At 35.9% G+C, this 20,831-nt stretch overlaps 1 long non-coding RNA gene across 1 annotated transcript; it reads left to right on the forward strand.

Annotated features, from left to right (window-relative positions):
• Nucleotides 1–3,613: 3,613 nt before the first annotated feature.
• Nucleotides 3,614–19,582, forward strand: LINC00903 (long intergenic non-protein coding RNA 903). The gene is made up of 2 exons (NR_046624.1): nucleotides 3,614–3,661; nucleotides 19,231–19,582. It is a non-coding gene; the product is annotated as a long intergenic non-protein coding RNA 903 (long non-coding RNA).
• Nucleotides 19,583–20,831: the final 1,249 nt, after the last annotated feature.

The raw sequence follows: 20,831 nt of genomic DNA on the forward strand, positions 1-20,831 counted from the left end.
AGATATACACATGACCATTACATGCATAAGAATTTGTTCAATATCATCATTCATCAGAGAAATGCAAATTAAAACTGCAATTAAATTTCACTGCATATTGGATTGCCTAGGATGTGGAGCAACTGAAATTCTCAAATACTGCTATTGGAAATGTAAAATTGCTGCAATTATTTTGCCAACATGGTTTGGCAGTTTCTTAAAAAGTAAAATGTATATCACTCATACAATCCAGCCATTTCACCTTTAGACATTTTACCCAAGGGAAATGAAAACATGCGTATACATAAAGCCTTGTACGTGAATGTTCATAACAGCTTTATCTATAACAGCTTAAAATGGAAGCAATTTACATTTCCATCAATAGGTGAAGGAATAAACAGATTATAATATACCCGCACATGTACTACTACTCAGCTATAAAAAGGAACAAGTTATTGATACATAGAAAAACATGGATGAATATCAAAATCATTATGTTGAGTTGCAAAAGCCAGGCAAAAATTAACACATGTAAGGTGAGTTCATTGATATATAATTATAAAAATATAAATCAGTCTATAAACAAAAGTGAGATCAGTGGTTGCCTAAGGATGGAGGTGAAGCAAGGAAGATGTTACAAAAGGGCATGAGGGGACCTTTGTGGGTGACAGAAATGTTAGGTATCTTGATTGTAGTGATGTCTTTATGGATGTAGAAATACATCAGAGCCTAACAAATTGTCCACTTTAAATATGTATAATTTATTACAATCAATTATATGTCAATAAAGTTGTTCATATGAATCCAGAAGCAATATTGTTTTTCTATATTTCATAATTTTTTGCTGAAGTTAAAATATGCTCTTACCATGTTCTGAATAAGTTCCACACACTCAAGTAATAATTTCTGCAGAAGCCCACTGAAATGTCTTAGCTTTATTTCCATTTTAAAAAATCAAATATGTAACTTATAAAATTTTAAAAATTCAAGTCAAATTTAAATTACCAAACATAATTCTTTATAGTTGGACTTTTGAAGAAAATAATAATAATCTGTATCTCTGTCCCTAATTTTTAAAACTTATTTTAACAACCTTGGCCACCCACCATCTCATAGACATTGCTGAGTATATTTTTCATAATTTACCTAAAAATATAAAGTGGCATCAACCCCTACCTCCCTCAACTTCTGGGCTACAGACCTCAAAACCTTAGATGGTTTTTCTGCTACTGTGGAGTGTTATTTTGTTCTTATAAGGGATCTTTTTCTGCTTATCCTCTGATCCATCAAGAGCCAAGTAAGAACACCAGCCAGCAAAAAACACAGAAAGAGGATAAAGAATTATGAAGACATTCAGAAATTTATTTAGGGAGAGCTGGGAAATGTCAAAGAACGCTAAATCCTAGGTATTTTTGACCTGTGCTTTTGAGGTGTTATGGTGTTTTCTTTAGTACACACTGGAGACCCTGATAGTATTACACATATACATCTGCCACAACCAGTAGCTTTAAAAGCTTCTCTAGGCCTGGATTGCTGCTCTTTTTTCCTTGTTTACTCTATGGCTTTTCATAAATAAATATCCATTTTTCTTATTATAAAGATATGCATATAAATATACATATAATGAAAAATAAGATGATACAGAAATGTCCAGTGCAGAATATTTTAAATCCCCTGTAATTTCATGAATAATTATCTGTTATTTACCACCTTTTTTTTTCTATGCAATATTCTGTTTTTGGGAAACACACACATTTCATCTTACTCAACATTCACAGAATGAAGTAAGACTGCACCTCCTGCTCTTAGTTTGCTTCTTTTCATTTAACCATATGTTTTGGAAATTTATCTGTATCTGGGCATAGACTTATCTTATTTTTTATAAGAGTTGTTTAGTAGTCTATTACATGCATCTAATTTACTTCTTTTTTAACTTTTATTTTAGGTTCAGGTGTACGTGTGCAGGTTTGTTATATAGGTAAATTGCATGTCATGGGGGTTTGATATACAGATTATTTCATCACTATGGTAATAAACATAGTACCGCACAGATAGTTTCTCAGTCCTTACCCTCCTCTCACCCTCTACCCTCAGGTATGCCCTGGTCTCTGTTGTTCCCTTCTTTGTGTCCATATGTACTCGATGTTTAGCTCCCACTTGTAAGAGAGAACATGTGGTATTTGATTTTCTGTTCCTGCTTTAGCTTGCTTAGGATAATGGTCTCCAGCTGTCCAAGTTGCTGCAAAGGACAGGATCTCATTTGTTTTTATGGTTGTGTAGTATTCCACGGTGTATATGTAAAACGTTCTCTTTATCCAGTCTACCACTGATGGGCATTTACAATGATTCCATGTCTTTGCTATTGTGAATAGTGCTGCAGTAAACATACACATGTATGTGTCTTTATGGTAGAATGATTTACATTACTTTGGGTATATACCCAATAATTGGATTGCTGTGTCGAATGGTTGTTCAGTTTTAAGCTATTTCAGAAATGGCCAAACAACTTTCCACAATGGCTGAACTAATTTACATTGCTTAATTTCTTATTAATTAGGTTTATACTCAATTGTGGTCATTGTGATGAGTGCTGGAATGAATATGCTTATGTGTATGTATGTGTATGTGTGTATATATATGTCCAAGGACACAAAGATTATACCTATTTAATAACATATTTTACAAAAATAGAAAATCACACAGGTATGTATGTATCTTTATGTGCTTTTATGACTATTTCTGTGTGAATGTTATATGACTTTCTAAATAAAACATGTTTTATATTTAATAAGTATATTCTAATTGCTTAAAAAATAATTGTACCAATTAACATTTCTACCCACAGTAAAAGAAGTACTCATTTCTCCACATCACTGTCTGGCTGTTTAGATGCATATTTAATAACTGAATAAAGCTAAGCCACTACATCTGTGGCTTTTACACAGAATTTAAAGTAAAGTAAACTCTTCAGATAAAATGTCTTTCGCATGGTGTACTTGAACTCTACAAAATCCACAGGTGGTTATGCTAATGTTCAAAGGACATCACACATGGCCTGAGATGTAAGTGGGTCTCCCCTGTACAATCAGTTCTAGAACACCAAATTACCTTTATCTTCTTCTTGCTTCTTTTTTTTAAAGTGTATTTCACGTCCCAATACATAGAAGAACCACCAAATTCCATATTTCACATAAAAGTACACGAGACCATTAAATCTTGCCTTAAACTTTCATCCTTTCACCTTTTGACACACAAAAAAGAAAGGATTTAAGTAATGTTATTTCATTAGCTTCTCTCCTGGACAAAGATGTCTTTACTGATGGAGCAGAAACGCTTTGCCAGCCCATATTCCATTGTCTTCAGAAACTATTCTGAATGGGAGCCACTGCCATTATGTGAATAAGTCATGCATGATCCCTGGGTATATTATCAGCCCCTTGTGGAACATTTTTACCAATGATGAAATGTTATTGTTGTCACTGTCAGACTTTCAGTCTTTATCAGTCTTCCTCATGACAGCCCTCGTTATTCAGGCAGTCTTGGGACAACTTCAAGGTGAGAACTTTCAACACAAGGTCAAGAGGATCAAATTTCTTTCCTATCCACCACTCAACCATTTTCCTTCCCTTTTATCATGGCTCACAGACCAACCCCTCAGGACTGCAGTGGGAGGAATGCAATGGTAAGCTGATTCTGCTGGGACTCTAGACACATCTAAAGAATTGAAATTTATAGTTTCTCACTGTGTCTTCTTTAGAGACTTTAATTATGTCCTTAAATACTGACACACATTTTTATCCACAGAATTCCTGATGAGGCACTGCTATGTACTAAAAACACTCCTGGGCTTTAGAATTAGAAATTTTTTTTTGTTTTGTTTTCTTTTGTTTTGTTTCAGATTTCAACTAAGTGAATTTTGGTCAGCTACTTAACATCTCTGTGCCATAAGTGTCATCTCCAAAATGGATCAAATGCTACCTGCTCTGTGAAACTGTTCTGAGACTTAAATGTGATAATGTATATAAATACCTTTCTCATTATCTAGAACATTGTAAGAAGCCAGCAAATGTTCACTTTTTGCTTCCACTATATTCTTATAATGCTTTCTGCCAAGTAATGTCTCAACATTTTTATGATTATTTTGACTCAAAAATGGAAAAAGCATAATCTTTACCCAGTTGTATCTGGTAGTTTCCTGAACACTGGAGCTTAAATTTCAGACCTAGTGCTGGGCGTGGTGGCTCATACCTGTAAGCCCAGCACTTTGGGAGGCCGAGACAGGCGGATCACCTGAGGTCAGGAGTTTGAGACCAGCCTTGCCAACATGGTGAAACCCTATCTCTACTAAAAATACAAAAAAAATTAGTCGGGCATGGTGGCACACGCCTGTAATCCCAGCTACTTGGGAGGCTGAGGCAGGAGAATTGCTTGAACCCAGGAGGCAGAGGTTGCAGTGAGGCAGGACTGCACCATTGCACTCTAGCTTGGGTAACAAGAATGAAACTGTCTAAAAAAAAAAAAAAAATTCAGACCTAAGACCTTTGTATAACTGCTCCTTTTCCCTATGTCTCCATTCTTTTTGCGCACCTAATTCTGACTTAAAGCACTTTATGGATTACTCAGTAGCTATGCTGAAAGGTGCCACAGGGTTTAGAGAACTGGCTGGAATACATGCATAAGCATGCCAGGATGTCAGCTCTCCACATTTAGACTGGCAGATTGGACACATATTATGTGTAATTACGCACATATTAGAATGATGATGACAGCCCTTCAGTCTCAGAGGAGCATGGCAGAATTGGTGTGTTCACAAAGACAGTGTGGAAGTGAATGGGAGCAGATCCTCCATGGCAATACATCCTACATGGGAAAACCCAGGGCTCAGGAAAACATTGATTTTCTCTTATAGACAATGTGTTTCACCATTTTCTTTTACTCTTACTCATCAAAGATAAACACATCTATCAAAAACCTGATGGTCCTCAGAAACATATTCTCTGCAAGAAACTTCTGATCAATGATCTGATACATATACCAAAATAAGGCCATATCAGATAAGATATTAAAGTTCAGCACTACATAAATTTATTTAGTAGAAATATATTTTAAGAGCATACTATGATGGAAAAGATTAAGTAATTGAGTCTGAAAACAGTCATTATTAATAATTTCTCAAGATCAGTCTATGTCATATTATATTAATGTCATGCCTGCTATGTATGGACAGTGTGTTTAGTACTTCACATATACTATGTGATTGTGTTCTTTTAGAGGTCCTCTTAAATAGTGACTATTACCAATTATGAAGAAAAGATGAAGGAACTTAGTTTGGTGGGAAATGAGTGATTATCCAATATCACCCAGCTAATAGCCATTAGATTCGAATCCACATCGTCTATCTGATTGCTAATTTTTAAAAAAAGTTTTCTAAAGTAAATGTAAACTTATGATAAAATTAATGTTGCAACAGCTGTTGTGTTATATGAGAAGGCAAAGTAGATGAATTTTCAAAACTGAATTTCACTGAGGTGTGCAGGAAGTTATCGGTCATTCAGGCAACTCCTTCATTCTTAAAAGGCTTCCTTGGTACCTATTGTATACAAAACACCTTGATAGGAATCTCTAAATCAGGGTAAAAAAAATTCCAGATACACAACTACAAACACCCGAAAGAAGGCATAATGAAAATATTCTTTACGTTTAGATATTTTTAGTTTTTCCGTGTGTTGTTTAGTAAAAATATAGTAAAAAATAAACATCTGTTATGGAAAATATTATAACTAATATATTATGATAACTGCATTATAAATTAAGCCATTAAAATTTTGTCATATGGGAACATTTCTTTGGAACTCAACAATCTAGGAGCAGAAGTAAAAATAGTAAAAATAGTATTGACTCACTTCTTCTCTGGGGATAAAAAGTGAATTCTTATCTCATTCAAAGGCATCTGTGTAAATAGTGTACTCTCAATTCCACCACAGAAAAAAGAGTTGAGAGCTATAGTCACCAAAATTTACATGCCAAGCTCTGAAGCCAGACTCTCTGGGGTGGAATCCTGACTCCACTATTAACTAGCTAAGAGACCACGGGCAAGTTATTCAACCTCTCTGGGCCTCAGCGAGGCTGTTGAGAGGATTAAATGATATAATATATTCAAAGTACGTTAGAAGCACTTTAAATTATTAACACAAAGGAAAAACACAATAGAGGTTGGCTTTATTATATTATTAGTAGTAGTATTTCTCTAAATTCTTCTTCCTGCTAGGGTCATACTACCACTCTTAATTCTAAAATACCCCTTCTAGTTCTAATTAAAAAGAGAGACAGAGAGGAGAGGGAGGGAAGGCGAGAGAGAGAGACAGTGAGAGACAGAGAGAGAGAGAGAGAGAAAGAAAGAGAGAGAGAGATCTCAAATGCAGTATCTATTGAAGTATTGAGGTATAGGATTATTGAATAAATAAAACTTAATGAAGGCATATGCTCATTAATTAGGTAGGGTTTTCGAAAAAAAGGCGAATAATATGACTCAGTAGCAGTTATTTCTATAGATCTCTGTAAAAAGTCTCTTATGATAATTGCTAGTTAAAAAGTTGTTAACAACAATAACAAAATATGGGCTAATAATCACAGGAGGCAAATATAAATGTAAATGGCATGGTCTGAATGTCCCCCATAATTCATGTGTCAAAAGTTTATTACTGTTGTGGTGGTATTAAGAGGTAAAGCCTTTTGAGAGATGATTGTCGTGAGGCCTCAGCCCTCATGAAAAGATTAGTGACTTATCAAGGGGCTGGAGGGAAATAGCTTAGACCCCTTTTTGCTCTTCCACCATGTGAGGACACAGCAAGTAGGGCCTTACTAGATATTGAATCTGCCAGCACCTTGATCTGGATTTCTCAGCATCCAGAACTGTGAGGAATAAATTTTTATTGCGAATAGATTACTCAGTCCATGGTATTTTATTACAGCAGCACAAATGGACTAAGACAGTAGGTAAAGATAAAAATCAAACTGGTCAACACAGGTTGAACAACCCTTATTTTAAAAGTTCAAACTTCAAAATAATCCAAAATCTACAGCTTTTGAGCACTGACATGATACTACAAGGTGAACATTCTATACATAAGTACTTAATGCAAACTTTGTTTTATGCACAAAATTATTTAAAATATTGTATAAAATTACCATCAGATTGTATGTATATGGTATATAAGAAACAAATGCATATCATGTTTAGACTTAGGTCCCATCCCCAAGAAATCTCATTATATATATGCAAATATTCCAAAAATTTTACAAAAAGATCTGAATTCTGAAACACATCTGGTCCTAAGCATTGCAGATAAGAAATACTCAACCTATATATATTTGGGTGAAAAAGTTTGATGGGTTTACCCATTTATGTTTGTTGTGCCCCATTTCAACTACTGTTTGTCCTAGAAAATGAGATGAACAATAAAATTTCAGATTTAGGTTTTATAACTTTTTAAATATACACTTAAATGCACGCGCGCGCACACACACACACACACACAGAGTAGCTAATAAATGGCTCCTACTTCACCATGTTCGAATTCCTTTATAAAAAATCTTCAGGCCGGGCGCGGTGGCTCACGCCTGTAATCCCAGCACTTTGGGAGGCCGAGGCGGGCGGATCACGAGGTCAGGAGATCGAGACCATCCTGGCTAACACGGTGAAACCCCGTCTCTACTAAAAATACAAAAAATTAGCCGGGCGAGGTGGCGGGCGCCTGTAGTCCCAGCTACTCGGGAGGCTGAGGCAGGAGAATGGCGTGAACCCCAGGGGGCGGAGCCTGCAGTGAGCCGAGATTGCGCCACTGCACTCCAGCCTGGGCGACAGCGAGACTCCGTCTCAAAAAAAAAAAAAAAAAAAAAAAAAAAAAAAAAAAAAATCTTCAGAAGTATAGTATGGGCCTTTCATGAAGGGTATACCTAAAAGGTACAATCTAGGAAGGATGTTAGACGCTGTCCTGATTAATACTTAGGAAACCTGAACTAACTTTTCTGTAGAATAAAAAGATAAAAAGAGGCTGGCCTTCATCTGAAAGAGGGTTATAAATAAAATCCATATCATCATTTTACTTATGACAAAAATCACAATTTTTTTCTCCTTTAAAATGGCATACCTTATTTTGTCATTTTTAAAAATAAATAAATACAGACCTGGGTAGTTAAAATTGCCAAGGGAATGGAAGTGGGTAGCGATGTGCATGCAGTGTGATGGCAGACCAGAGCTGTAGGAGCTCTTCACACTGCTTCAGTGAGGTTGCTAAGGGATATGAGCCCTAAACCAATAAAGGTTATGGATCAGATAAAAGGGATCTTACCTACATAATTCCCATATAATAAAACAGAAGACACCCTCTGAGGCTTGAAGTAGCTTTAAAAAAGTGCTGTCTTACAAAGGTAATAGTAAACATTTCAGCTTTCTACCCTAGAATACACAGATGGAGAACAGTTTAGGTAAAACTATGAATGACAGATTCATAAAGTGTATTTAGGAGGGAGTTACAGGTATTTAGAATACATCCCTCACACTTTGAAGCAATTATAATTGAAAACAGTAATTATATTCTTCTAAGTGTACCTCTTTATCTCTTTTTAAAACTATAATACAAAATAATCACTGAGATAATAATTCATAGTTTTATCCTCTGTGGAAGTTCTTATAGCATTCCTTGCTTGTTTAGTTATACACCAACTCATTTTTGAATACCTTCTATGCATAAGCTGCTATGCTAAACCTGAACTAGACAAATATCTGTTCTCTAGAACTATATATTTTAGTGAAGGTAAGAAACAGAAAGACAAGTTACAAAGTGACAAGTATCAGAACAAAAGGGATGTCAAATATGGTATAGAAATATAGAAAAAAATTTTTGCTTTATTCATGAGTTTAGAAGTAGACTAGATGTCCACCAAGTAAATGTATAATCAAACTGTCACTAATGAGTCTGAAACATGGAAAGAAGAATTTAGGAGTGTCTTTGAGTAATAGCAAGAGAATTGGAGGAGTGTTGGGCCAAGACTTTGTCAGTATTATTACTCAACATGAGAACAAGAATAAAATAACTCAGAGTTACTTTAACAGGATTCCATGGAGAACCTATTTTAAGGCTGTAATTTAATTCAGGTGTAAATTACTAGACTATATTTTAATTACAGGAGTAAATGTCATCCATATTCATGACTAATGAGTAGGAGTAAATGAATGATATAGTACAACATTAGCATTCCATAAGTCCAGGCTGTGACAGTATCTCCCTATTTAAAAATCAACTATAAACCAAGGGAACTATGAAAAACACAGCACTCTAAAGAGATTTCACAGAATTTTTTCTTCAGCATTTTTGCTAATCTTTTTTTTTTAGTATGGTGTTTTCTGCAATGTCTATTGTTCAAACTTCCTTCCAAGTAGATGTAACCTTCTAATAAGCCTTTAAATCTCAAAATAGAGTGTGCTTGATACATTTGAAAACAGAAAATTTAAAAATTCTTTTTTTAAAATATTTTGATAACTTCTTTGATACAAGACACCCGAATTTGTAAGACCAAATCCACGACTCTGAAGAGGAATGAAGAGACTGAGGAAATTAGAGAAGTCTTAAATTTTATTCAGGATGTTTTACTATTAAAAAATGGCTTTGTAAACAATGTTTACCATATGTTGTTAAATATTAATAGAAGCATGAGAAGTTATATATACATTGGTACAGGGCTGATTTTTCAACAAGCACACCAGTAAGTGCTAGTGGCTTTTAATATATAGTGAAATTTCTGTACAGGTGAGCAAATAACCACTGTCCTGAGGTTCTCAAATGCCATATCCCTTAAGGACCACTGGAGCCTAGACCAGGACCCCTAGGCATGCATCCCAGGGAATCATACTGTGTTACTTCTTAACCTCTCAACCACCAGCAAGCCAGCTGTTGATGTTAGCAACAGCTCTCCTGGAGGTGGCTAATGAATGTCCTAGTGGACATGTGTTTGATACTCAGCTGCCCACTTCTGAAATACCTGGGGTCTGGGGTTAGGCGCCGTGGCTCACGCTTGTAATTCCAGCACTTTGGGAGGCCAAGGCAGGCGGATCACTTGAGGTCAGGAGTTCGAGACCAGCCTGGCCAACAGGGGGAAACCCCATCTCTATTAAAATACAAAAATTAGTGGGGCGTGGTGGTGCACATCTGTAATCCCAGCTACTCAGGAGGCTGAGGCAGGAGAATCACTTGAATCCAGGAAGCAGAGGTTGCAGCGAGCTGAGATTGCACCAGCCTGGGCAACAAAGCAAGACTCCGTCTCTAAATAAATAAATAAGAAATATTTGGCACCTGGAAAAGCCAAGAAAAAAAAAAGAAGAAGAAATAATGGGAGCTGCCACTGACACAAATCAGAGCCTAGTATTTTAGGCTCTGATGGAATGGACAACAATCTAAAGATAGGAAGAAGGCTGAAGGGGACAGATGGAACATGTGTGCATCTATTCCACTAGAGACAAGTGGAAGGCTCATGTGGAACTATCCGTTTTTCCATCCTTTTGAATGTAATATCAATTTGATGGGACAGTTTACCTCTATTTAATAAAACCTTAAGATAAATCATCAAATGCTTGATGGTCATGGGCATTAACATTAATTTTATTTATAACCTTACAGCCAGTCTTATATAAAATATGCTTTATAGGTACCTGTTTTAAAATACATTCACTTGAGTATTATAAATTCAATCAATACTCCCATATTTTGGGTAAGGTAACTGAGGCATAGAGAATTAATTAAAATTTAAGTAGCAGAGAAAGAATTATAGCCCAAGAAGCCTAACAAAAGATCTGTTTTTATCGTCTTACTGTACTACTTCTTGCTTGGAATAAAAACGCACTTTCCATCAATTCAAATATGTCTTTCCAATAAAAGGTATTTGCGAATGAGTCAATAATCAAGGTATTTACTATATTTTTAAAATATCAGGAAATATGTTAAGGGCTAGAATACTTTTATTATCCTATCTAGTTGAGCACAAGCTGAAAACCGATTAAGTGCTACTGACAATATAATAGAAGAGAAACCCTCTAATTGGGACTGCAATCATCCAATGACTATCACTTTAACAGGAACATTACTGGGAGAATTTGATAGGGTTTGCTATGTCAAATCATGATGAAGATTGGAGCGTCATTTCCTTGTTGGCAGAAGCATAAAATAAAAGGCTACATGTGAGAGAGCAGAGGACAGCAGTTATCTCTAAAAATCCACTTATTTGGAAATTTTTAAGAATGAGTTAATGAAAAATTTATACCATGGCTTGTGTTGCTTGGTAAGCAGATTTGTAACATATACCATTGAATATATTTAGAAAATATGCACGGTGGCTCACGCCTGTAATCCCAGCACTTTGGGAGGCCGAGGTGGGCGGATCACGAGGGGAGATCGAGACCATCCTGGCTAACACGGTGAAACCCCACCTCTACTAAAAACACAAAAAATTAGCTGGGTGTGGTGGCATGTGCCTGTAGTCCCAGCTACTCGGGAGGTTGAGGCAGGAGAATGGCGTGAACCTGGGAGGCGGAGCTTGAAGTGAGCCGAGATTGTGCCACTGCACTGCAGCCTGGACGACAGAGCGAGACTCCGTCTCAAAAAAAAAAAAAAAAAGAAAAAAAAAAGAAAATACGGTGGAATTTAAATTTTTGGGATTGATGTATTGATTTATTTATTAATTTATATTTTCATACTGATTGTTAAATAGTATTAATAGCACCACTGCATATATGCATAGAAAAAGGTGAGAAACTATACATAAAAATGTTAAGATTGGTTATATCTGGGTGTTGAGATAGATATATATTTTATACATACATCAGTGGACATGTATTTAGTGTTAACAGAAAAAATATATACAAGGCATATTATAAAAATATGGCTTCTCTCTAGCCTATCCTTTTATTTCTTTAGTAACTGAAAACATAGATTAATGCTTTGAAGTTAATTTAAACTTATTCTTAAATAGTTCATAGCCTGAATGGTAATTTCTCTTGAGTTTTCTGCAGGTTCCTCAGCCCACTATTTTGACCACCTTCTTCAACCCCATATTGACCCCAGAGGTCTTAGTCTCACCTGGAATTCTAACACAAACATGGAACAATTGAGTCGACTTTTTCTAAACACTTTCATTGTCCTGTTTCCTCTTTTTCCCTAGCAATCCTTATTTTCCCCAAGCTACCCCTACACACGCACCAATCAAGTAAACAAAGAAATAAAGAAAGGAGTGCTGTTTTAAGAATGCTTCTCACCTTAGTGAGCAGAATATTCTACAATGTGATAAGTCATGAAAGATAAATTCGCCATTTTGGGAAGAGGCTTTTTTCAGAAAGTTACCACAAAAGGGGTGACCTTGGATTTTTGATATCTGATTGCATGTTCTCATTCTCTCCAATTAGAATCATAAGATATTCAAATGGTCTGAATTGTCATTTCTGCTTTCCTTAGAAAATGGTGAACTGGCCTGAGAAGACAGGAGTGGAGAGTCAAGGTAATGTATTATCTCTCCACTCCACCTTAGCAGAGCCTTGCTCTTGGTTAAAGGTCTCTGCTTATTCCTCATGGAAAAAAATCTTGTTGCAGTCTCAGTCAGCTCAGAATACAAGAATGCAGGTAATTAAATAGCTAACAGTTACATAGCATTCACTATGTGTCAGGCACTGCCTTAAGTACTATATAGTTATTTACTCATTTACTCTTCACAACAAATCCATGACATGACGACTATCACTCTTCCCACTTGGGTAACTTGCCCAAGACCATACACTAGTATACGCGTGGCATGACTGGGATTAAAACCTGAGTAGTCTGGTCCCAGTCTTTAACCACTATGCTATACTGAAGTAGGCCTGGAGAGGGAGATCCAGTAGCTCCAACTTGAACTCCCTGGATGGTACTTTCATTGCTGAGTTGTTTCCAGAATCCTCTAGCTAAGGGAATTGCCATAAATCACAGTATTAAGTCTCAGTTAATTGCTATTTTCTGTGAACCAAAGTCACACTCTCTTACCAATGTTGAGAAACAAATTTATCAATATTGAGAAATTCCTTAAGAATTCAGCAACCAATCTTTCCCCCACCTTTTCAGCATCTCTAAAATGGGACTATTAAGAAAAACTTCTTAAGAATGTTTGAAATTCACTAAGATCTTGAATACATTAAAAACAAATAGCAGAATGGCTCCCATATAGTAGGCGTCCATAAATGGTTATGTGTCATACAAAAACACAACAGAATATAGATGATGGCACAAAGTTAAGCATTTAGAAACTAAAGAATATAAGTTTCACACATCTAAAGAAAGGGAGTAGAGAACTAGCCATTTGAAAGCTAGAGAAATAATTGTTAACTAGGATTACAACTACAGAGCAGCTATCTTGAAGTGAGGCTGCTAACCACACCCCTGTATTATCTGTCTCTTCTGTATTGTTTATAGCCAAGGATTACATTTTCCTATTGATCCTTTTTAGGTTACCATGACATCAAAATGCCATTTTCAATCTAAGTTTGAAAATGCCATTTTCAAACAAGGGTGAGTATCTCAACTCACCCTTGTTAAAGCTTACACCTCTCATATTAGTCCAGAGCCATTTTCAGAGAGATTTCTTATGCTGAATCAACAAGCTGAATATTTTTAAATTATACCTTATTCACACTTATATAGAACCGCCCATAAAAGTGTCCACATACATTACTACTAGCAATTGTATTTTACTTTGACAATTCTAAATGGTTTACATTTGTATATTCATTCACTTTACATGTATCAGTGTTAATATATATAGATGGACATATTTTCTACTTCTTAATTAATTTTATTGACTACTATTCTCAAATTTCTAATTTGTTTTTCTTCCCTTCAAATACCTTGCACATACATGACACTAGAGTACTGAGCAAAATATATCCAAACATGATTAAAGATAAATAATTATCAGCACAAGCATACTCAAGTTTAGGAGGAACGTATCTGTACCATGTGGGTCTTTAACACCTTAGGAATCTCCTAGAGTATTAGGTGCTCATCTCTTTACTACCAATAAAAATCTACTTGCTTCCTCTAAGGGTTTCTTGGATTTTGCAGAATAGGGAGTTCCTACTCATTCCCCTTTGTGAAAGATGCTGGACTGATAGATTTCCATGATGAATTCTCCCACTTCTGAGTTTTGAGTGATTTCTAACACCACGATATGGAAACGAAGAAAGCAAGTGAGGAGAAATTTTGAAAAAGGGTTACGGAAATAGCTAGGAGTCTTCCTGCTGAGCCATCCCAGAACTAGAGTTTTGAATAATGCATGTTCCATAAATCTAAGTGTCCCACTATGCCACATTTTAGAACAGGGAGAGAAAATAATAGCTACTGTCCACACTTATCACCAATAATAAATTGCAGGGCTCCTGTGTGTGGCAGTGATTAATGCAAAATGCAACCTAAAACACATAACTAAATAAATAGATAGTTTGACTTTCTTGGGGGTTATCTCTCTTCCTCTTTCTTTCTCTTTCTCCCCTCTAAATAGAAAATACATTTTTAAAAAATCTCTAGAACACCTACCCTTTTCTTTCTGAGACAGATAAATGGGCTTTTATTTTTTTCTCAGGCAAGAGCAGGTAAGCGTCTCTCTCGGGCTCTCTCTCTCTCTCTCTCTCTCTCTCTCTCTCTGTGTGTGTGTGTGTGTGTAGGAAAGACAGATAAAGAGAGGGAGACATATACAAAGAGTACTCACTGGCAGGAAGTTGTATTGCAGAATTCACTTGAACTAGTAGGTTATAAAGGGAGAGTGGCAATTGGCAGGGTTACTGTACAGCTTTGGCAATCAAGCACAGGAGTATAACAAGCAAGTTTTTAGAGATTTAATTTGCAAGGAAACATCAGCCTTGATAGCTTTCTATTTGATTATGAAATATTTTATATAAAAGCAACCCCTAAGCCTTTCAGAAATTTAAAACATATTGAAATTTACATGAAAATTAAATATTGATCATGCATTTAGACAATGAAAACACTGTTAAAAAAGTAGAGAATTAAATTCCATCAATAATAACTGTTATCAGTTTTCATAGGACCCTCTGAATGCTGCTGTGTTCCAGATGGAGCCATCATTTATCAAGACTTCAATTTGCAGACATTCCACCATACAGCTCATGTATTAGCTTATTTAATCCTCTCACCAACCCTATGATAGATATTAATATTATTTTCATTCTTCAAGGGAGGAAATAGGCTCAGAGAGACTAAGTAATTTCTTTAAATGCACACATCTGCTTGGTAGCAAAGCTGGCATTGAAATTCATGTTCTGTTAAACACAAAGGCCTATGCTATATCTATTCTGCCATGTACAGGCAGGACTGCCAGATAAAATACAGGGCATTCAGTTAAATTTGAATTTCAGATGAATACGAATTATTTTTAGTATCAGTCATGTCTTAAATATTCCACGGGATATACTCATGCCCCCAAAGTGCTACTATCTGAAATTGAAATTTAACTGGACATCCTTTATTTTTATTTGCTGACTCTGGCATCCTTCACTATATATCTTCTTTGGATCCAGGTTTCTATTCTTGAGAGGAAGTAAAGCAGTGAAAGAGAGGATGAAATGAGGCACCTATCCCACTCAGTGTCAGCATGTTTCTGCAAGGTGTATTATGCTCTTGAGAAGATTATCAGAGTTTGTAAGATAATGCCTGACAGCAGATAAGGTGACCTATTCCATCAAGGACAGCAAAACATATGAAGGTTACACTATGCATTGTGGGGACAACTGAATTGACAGGGTAACCCTGGATCTCAAGCCTGAGACCCAGTGGAGGGAACTGGATGGCCTCTAAGCTCTAACATTTTCAGACACTCTCTACATATAATCAGTCAAGGAAGACATTTGAACCCCAAGATTTGTTTCCTTCCCATCCTGCCCCTTCAGGATGTAGATGATTGTCCTAGCTCCCCACTCACAGGAAGAAAAAAATTTCTTTCTTTCTTTTTGAAACTATATTTCCAAGGTCAACACTCCTGGGCATTTGAGTACAACATCTGGTTACAAAACTAAGACTGCAGTAATGCCCTTGCCACTCCCCCTGACCCAGCACCGTTGCCCATTTCAGCCTGTTTCAGCACCCATGGAGAGGCCCTTTCCTCACTGTTTTCTTCTCCTCCTTTCTGAATTTTACCAGTCAGAACATATTTATCCTCTGCCTCACTTGCCTAGCCTTCGGCCATTTGCTCTCTGCTAGGGAACTGATAAAACTAATGTGAGCTAATGTGTTGATGATCATCAAAGGGCTTATTCCTTCCAGATAACACCTTCTGCCTTAAATGATGTAACACCAAGGCCTAAGTAGGATGGTAGTGGAAATATTTTACATCAGGTAGATGTTTTCTTATCAGCTCTATATTACATCAAATCAATAATGCCCACCCCACTCCACCACATGGAATTGATCAACCAGACTATTTATTTCCTCACTCCATAACAGTGGCCAATTTATTTAAGAGTGGCATGTTAAGAAAACAATGTTTTTCCTTGTCCTTAATTGAAGTGTAGTTAATTGAATAGAAGAAGCCAAATCTATTGTATAGAAGCCTTGGTTAGTAAAATAAATTATTAACAAAAATGCCTCTGCCCAAAATGTAGATCCCTGACTCTTCTTCCTCTCTACCTGGCCCTCTTACTTACGTATTTTTAAAGAACAAACTCAGTTTTATTTATCCTTATGATACTTTTACTTACTCATAACAACTTCCCTCATTTAAATTCCCACAATTTTCCATCATGAAACTGTGGTTAAAATTACCTAGGTGCACATTCTCACTCTATCATTTAATAGGTGTGTGACTTTGAAGAAGTTAATTTAGTCTGTCTGTGTTTCTTATCTGTGAACTAGGATAATGCCGTTGCCTCCTCATAGGGTCTCTCTGAGGATTGAATGAGAATATATAAAAACAGGACCTGGCACACAGCAAACATGGTACACATACTTACTGTTGTTATTAACTTATACATGTGTTTGCACATCTATCTTTCAATTGTTTGAGCTTTCAGAGCAAGAAGTTTATGCAATTCAAGGGTATATTTGGAGCATTAAGTGCTCAATCAATTAGTCACTCAATCAATGCTTGTGGAACAGATATATACCCATATATAGCTCTCTGAACAATATGAGAATAGGCTAGTGTCCTTGCTCTAAGGTTAGAAATGCCAAGTAACTGGCAACAGAGCTAAAAACATATTTTTTTCTGTTAAAGTCTCAAGGTCTATTGAAGAACCACATTTTTCCTTCAGACTCCAAGTACAGAAGATGGTTGTTTAGTTGATTGATTTGAGTATTTATCTATGTTTATGTAGTGTCTGGCCTGAAGTGGCTGATCTTGATTGTGAATCACTTTGTTTCTATATGAAAAATCCTTTTCTGATCAAGAATTGTTTCTTTTTGTATTATCATTCATTCTCAGACAAAACCTTACCTATTCAAAGAAAAAAAAATTGAACGGTTCATATGCATGTGGGTAGATATATTTATATAAATATACAAACTTGAATCTTTTATTATAAAATGTTTAACAGTAAATATTAGGGATAAAATGACTCAAGGGAAGAATTACATGTGTATGAACTCAAAACTAAGTCCCAAGGATACCTTCTTGAGGTATAACTAAAAAGTAGGTCACTTCTGTTTTTCCTGCTCCCTTGCAGCCAGGCTTTATACCCATGGGCATCCAAGGTCTCCATAGTTTTCTTCTTTTTCCCCAAGCCCTTTGCTTGTCAGCTGCTTCAGCCTCCACTGCAATAGTGCAAGATCATTATCTTTTTTGCTCCACTCTTTGAGGCTTTCTTTTTATCAGAGGTCTAATCCACTATTATGAGCTAACTCATGTTTATGTCTGGCACTAATTTAGTCTTCTAAGATAAGGAACACACTAAAGTTTACATAACACCCAATCACATTTCCAACAAAAAATGTCAACAGAATTTCACCCTGAGTTCAGAGGAAAGAAGAGTGAGAAAGGAGATAAAAGGCCTCTTACATTTTCTTAAATTTCATTAAATCACTTTAATTTCAACAAACATATTTGGGGTCTGCATGATGAGAATGCAAAGGTGGCTCCCAGCACTCCAGGAGTTGTTTCCTAGTAGAAGTTGATGGCCCTGCTCTGGTCTATCCAGGAAGTGATTAGACTCTAGCTGTCACCCATCCAACTCAGGGTGGATGACACCATATAGGTGTCTACAGCCTAGGAAGTCACACTTACTCCTAAGCATTCTACTGTACCCATTACTTTCAATATGGAGTGGGGCAGGGATGGCAAGGCCAAGGAGAGGTGCTGAGCAAGATGCTTATAATATAAAATCATGAGATATTTCTTTTATGACTATGAAGTTTGATCCATATCAGTGTTTCCTAAGTTTAACTCTACATTCCAAGGTCAGAAAATGATATAAAACACACTTCAAGTACGTATATAATGCCCTTAAAAAGCCACCCTATGAATTTATGATAAAGACCTAATTTGTACGACCAGTTTGTCAGTGCCATTCACTCCCATTTGAGTCTGTCCTGAACATAGGACAACTTTCTTTGTAGGACGAAGTGATACGTAGTTCCATGTTGTCACCACCACAGAAAAAGATTTGTTCTCTTGTAAAACACGGCTATACATTATACTGCCTTTTCTTCTACAGTGAAGAGGAAGGAAGAATTAACTTACTTCATGGAATTTTTGTGGACTGAGGGTTTGGTAAAATAAAATGCAAGGGGTAACAAATTATAAAAGACTTGTAACAAATTATTTAATCCTGAAAAAAAAAAAAACCAGCAGTGGGTGAGCGAGTATATACATTTATAAGACTTAACAATGAGAAAAAGGGTAAAAATAGAAAAAAATTAAGATAAAAGGAGAATCAAATCAAGTCAAATATCTCTCAGCCTGTTGGCATGTTTCTCAGTGAGCTGACTATGACTAATTTATGCTGGGTCCTGATTATATTTTATACTCCTGATTTAATCTCAGTCTAGGCAAACTTTAACCGTTTTACTTATTATAATTACAGAAACTTAGTGTTTTCTAATCTTTTGCTTCGCAAGCAGAGGAGAAAAATTCCAACATTCCTTTTAATGCCACGCCTTGTTGAGCCATTTCCAGGTAAGTGGGCAAACAACCCAAGAGTTATCAATGGGATTTTCTTCTTTTCAGCAGGAGCCCATTCTTCTTTTCTGGTTCATGTACTCTAATCAAAGACACCACTCAATAGTGCACAGTGTGTGGAGAAGGAGATGGAAGATGCAAGGAGTATGAATGTGGGCACTTTTTAAAAAATTTCACCCAAGAGAAATATACAGTCATTTGTCAGACCAGTGATTTTACACTGTCACATGCTATAACTGCCAAGAAACACATACACACACAGGAAGTACTTCATAGTGAGGTATGTAAAAATATCAGAAGGGGTATAATTGAGTGACTATGGCTAATCACACACATTTTCCAGCATGCAGCATGGCATTTGAATTTTTCTAGTATATCAGCGTTATGTTAAATATATCAAGAGTAAAGGAAGTAGTAGAATATTAGAGGAGAAACAAAGGGAGTGAAAAAAATGGAAAAAAAAAAGAGATAGATTTGAAAATGTATGCCGGGCATGTATATGTGTGTCTATGGTTTTTAAAAGTTTCTACTATAAACAGCACTTGTGAGCAGGGCAGTGTCTGGTGCCAACTGCCCTGGGTATATATTTGCCCTTGTTTTTCATTGACAAGATGCAGACCTATGTAGATGCTATCAATGCTACTAGTAATAGAAGATTAATATGCAATCCAAATGATATATTTTGTTTATACTATTAAAAATATTTGATTTTTAGACTGAAAATGATAGCATTTTTAAAACATTTATTCAGAAAGTCTCTTCTCTGGTGGCCTAATATTTTCACTCTAAATTGGGTAGGTGAAAGGAGAAAAGTCATGCTACTTGTGGTCTATATTCTACTATCGTCATTAGAAAATTCATTGGCCTTTGCATTAACAATCCAATTTATTAAACAACAGTGGGAAATTAGCTAAGTTAATCAGAATCTAGAGCTCTTAAAAACTACTCTTTGCTAATTCTTTTTTTTTTTAAAAAAAGTGTCATATAAAGAATTTTGTTTTCTTTCACAGAAAGCCTCTGGTAGTGGAAGGAAATGGCTTGTAACTGATGACAGGTGGTGTTTACATTTATAATTTTCTTATTTTTTATGTTTTGGAATGGATTCAAAGGAAAGAATTATCAGACAACAGTTGCAGCCCTGGATATCATTTATGGCTATTTTCCTGGACATGTGAGATATACTTTTAGAACAATCATTCTGTACATTAGTGAAAATGAGATAATTCAGGGGCTGAATCCAGGAAGGCAGGAACAATAATGCAATGCTTTGGTCAACAGTCCCTGAAACTTGCCTACTCAGGGTCCTCATCTTCTTAAGTAATGTGACTTTCTTTCTTGATCCTTAGATCATTTCCTAAAATAAAAACTGTAAACCCTCTATATAAAGCTGGCTAATAGGATTTCATATAGAGGAATTAAAAACAAATTTTTTAACACAATAAGTTGGATTTCAGCATTCATGATATTTGTTTTAAGAGGTCTAATGAGGTTTTTTTGTTTGTTTGTTTTTTACCTAGGATGCTACAATCTTCAGAGACTTATGCATTCAGCACTCCTAAACATCTGTTCAGCCTCCAAATGATTAGGTTGTTTGACACTCAAATGCTGTCCCCTGGCAATAAAAATCTGACTATATCCAGTTGACCATATAA

This window comes from Homo sapiens, chromosome 3 (assembly GCF_000001405.40).
Source record: "Homo sapiens chromosome 3, GRCh38.p14 Primary Assembly".
Lineage (NCBI taxonomy): Eukaryota > Metazoa > Chordata > Mammalia > Primates > Hominidae > Homo > Homo sapiens.